Raw genomic sequence first — 2,632 nt, 5'->3', positions numbered from 1 at the left:
AATCTCTCAGCATTTGCTTGTCTGGAAAGGATTTTATTTCTCCTTCACTTATGAAGCTTAGTTTGGCTGGATATGAAATTCTGGGTTGAAAATTCTTTTCTTTAAGAATATTGAATATTGAATAGTGGCCCCCACTCTCTTCTGGCTTATAGGGTTTCTGCAGAGAGATCCACTGTTAGTCTGATGGGCTTCCCTTTGTGGGTAACCCAACCTTTCTCTCTGGCTGCCCTTAACATTTTTTCCTTCATTTCAACCTTGGTGAATCTGACAATTATGTGTCTTGGGGTTGCTCTTCTTGAAGAGTATCTTTATGGTGTTCTCTGTATTTCCTGAACTTGAATGTTGGCCTGCCTTGCTAGGTTGGGGAAGTTCTCCTGGTTAATATCTTGAAGAGTGTTTTCCAACTTGGTTCCATTCTCCCTGTCACTTTCAGGTACACCAATCAAACCTAGGTCTGGTCTTTTCACATAGTCCCATATTTCTTGGAGGCTTTGTTCGTTCCTTTTCATTCTTTTTTCTCTAATCTTGTCTTCACGCTTTATTTCTGATATCCTTTCTCCCGCTAGATTGATTCAGCTATGGATACTTGTGTATGCTTCACAAAGTTCTTGTGTGTGTTTTTCAGCTCTATCAGGTCGTTTATGTTCTTCTCTAAACTGGTTATTCTAGTTAGTAATTCCTCTAACCTTTTTTCAAGGTTCTTAGCTTCCTTGCACTGGGTTAGAACATGCTCCTTTAGCTCAGGGGGTTTGTTATTACCCACCTTCTGAAGGCTGTCATTTCGTCAAACTCATTCTCCGTCTAGTTTTGTTCCCTTGTTGGCGAGGAGTTGTGGTCCTTTGGAGGAGAAGAGGCGTTCTGGTTTTTGGAATTTTCAGCCTTTTTGCACTGGTTTTTCCTCATCTTAGTGCATTTATCTATCTTTGGTCTTTGATGTTGGTGACCTTCGGATGGGGTTTTTGTGTGGACGTCCGTTTTCTTGATGTTGATGTTGATGCTGTTCCTGTTTGCTAGTTTTCCTTCTAATAGTCAGACCCCTCTGCTGCAGGACTGCTAGAGTTTGCTGGAGATCCACTCCAGACCCTGTTTGCCTGGGTATCACCAGCAGAGGCTGCAGAACAGCAAAAATTTCTGCCTGTTCCTACCTCTGGAAGCTTCGTCCCAGAGGGGCACCCCCCAGATGCCAGCCAGAGCTCTCCTGTATGAGGTGTCTGTCGACCCCTGTTGGGAGGTGTCTCCCAGTTCGGAGGCTCGGGGGTCAGGGACCCACTTGAGGAGGCAGTCTGTCCCTTAGCAGAGCTCAAGTGCTGTGCTGGGAGATCCGCTGCTCTCTTCAGCGCCGGCAGGCACAACATTTAAGTCTGCTGAAGCTGCACCCACTGCTGCCCCTTCCCCCAGGTGCTCTGTCCCAAGGAGATGGGAATTTTATCTATAAGCCCCTGACTAGGGCTGCTGCCTTTCTTTCAGAGATGCCCTGCGCAGAGAGGAGGAATCTAGAGAGGCAGTCTGGCTACAGCGGCTTTGCCAGACTGCAGTCCCTGGGGGCTTTGTTTACACTGTGAGGGGAAAACTGCCTACTCAAGCCTCAGTAATGGTGGACGCCCCTCCCACCACCAAGCTCAAGAGTCCCAGGTTGACTTCAGACAGCTGTGCTGGCAGCAAGAATTTCAGGCCAGTGGATCTTAGCTTGCTGGGCTCCATGGGGGTGGGATCCGCTGAGCAAGACCACCTGGCTCCCTGGCTTCAGCCCCCTTTCCGGGGGAGTGAATGGTTCTGTCTCACTGGTGTTCCAGGCATCACTGGGGTATGAAAAAAAACTCCTGCAGCTAGCTTGGTGTCTACCCGAATGGCCGCCCTGTTTTGTGCTTGAAACCCAGGGTCTGGAGATGTAGGCACCCAAGGGAATCTCCTGGTCTGCGGGTTGCGAAGACTGTGGCAAAAGCATAGTATCTGGGCCAGAGTGCACTGTTTCTCATGGCACAGTCCCTCATGGCTTCCCTTGGCTAGGGGAGGGAGTTCCCTGTCCCCTTGCACTTCCTGGGTGAGGCGATGCCCCACCCTGCTTTGGCTTGCCCTCCGTGGGCTGCACCCACTGTCTAACTAGTCCCAACGAGATGAGCCGGGTACCTCAGTTGGATATGCAGAAATCACCCACCTTCTGCGTTGATCTCGCTAGGAGCTCCAGACCAGAGCTGTTCCTGGGGCTTTTACGTTTTTAGTGCTCATTTGTTTGGCATGGGGTGGGGGGCAATTCTATGAGGACATTTAGAATTTTCAGAACTATTTTGCTCATAATCAGGGGTTGCATGAGCATTAAGTTTCAAATCTCTTCAGTAGACGAACCATGCAAAATACCAATATCACTGTGTATTAGTATTTAGCAGTCTTATCCTTGATGTGGAGTGTATCCTCACACTTCCTCTATGAGAAGTCTTTTGTGAGACTTATTCCCAGGTAAAGAGCCAGTCAGGGGCCTGGCTGCTGCCCTCTGGCTGGCGCAACAGACAGATGATGTCCCAGTGTCTCTGGCGGCTTCTTACAGAACTCTGTCCCTGAGGTTATGTCCCTTCTTCATGAGGTGACACCTTCAGGGGTGGGTCTGCCTGAGAGCTCCAAAACATGATTTCTGCTG

This window comes from Homo sapiens, chromosome 5 (assembly GCF_000001405.40).
Source record: "Homo sapiens chromosome 5, GRCh38.p14 Primary Assembly".
Taxonomy (NCBI): Eukaryota; Metazoa; Chordata; class Mammalia; order Primates; family Hominidae; genus Homo; species Homo sapiens.
This window is presented reverse-complemented; position numbering follows the sequence as displayed.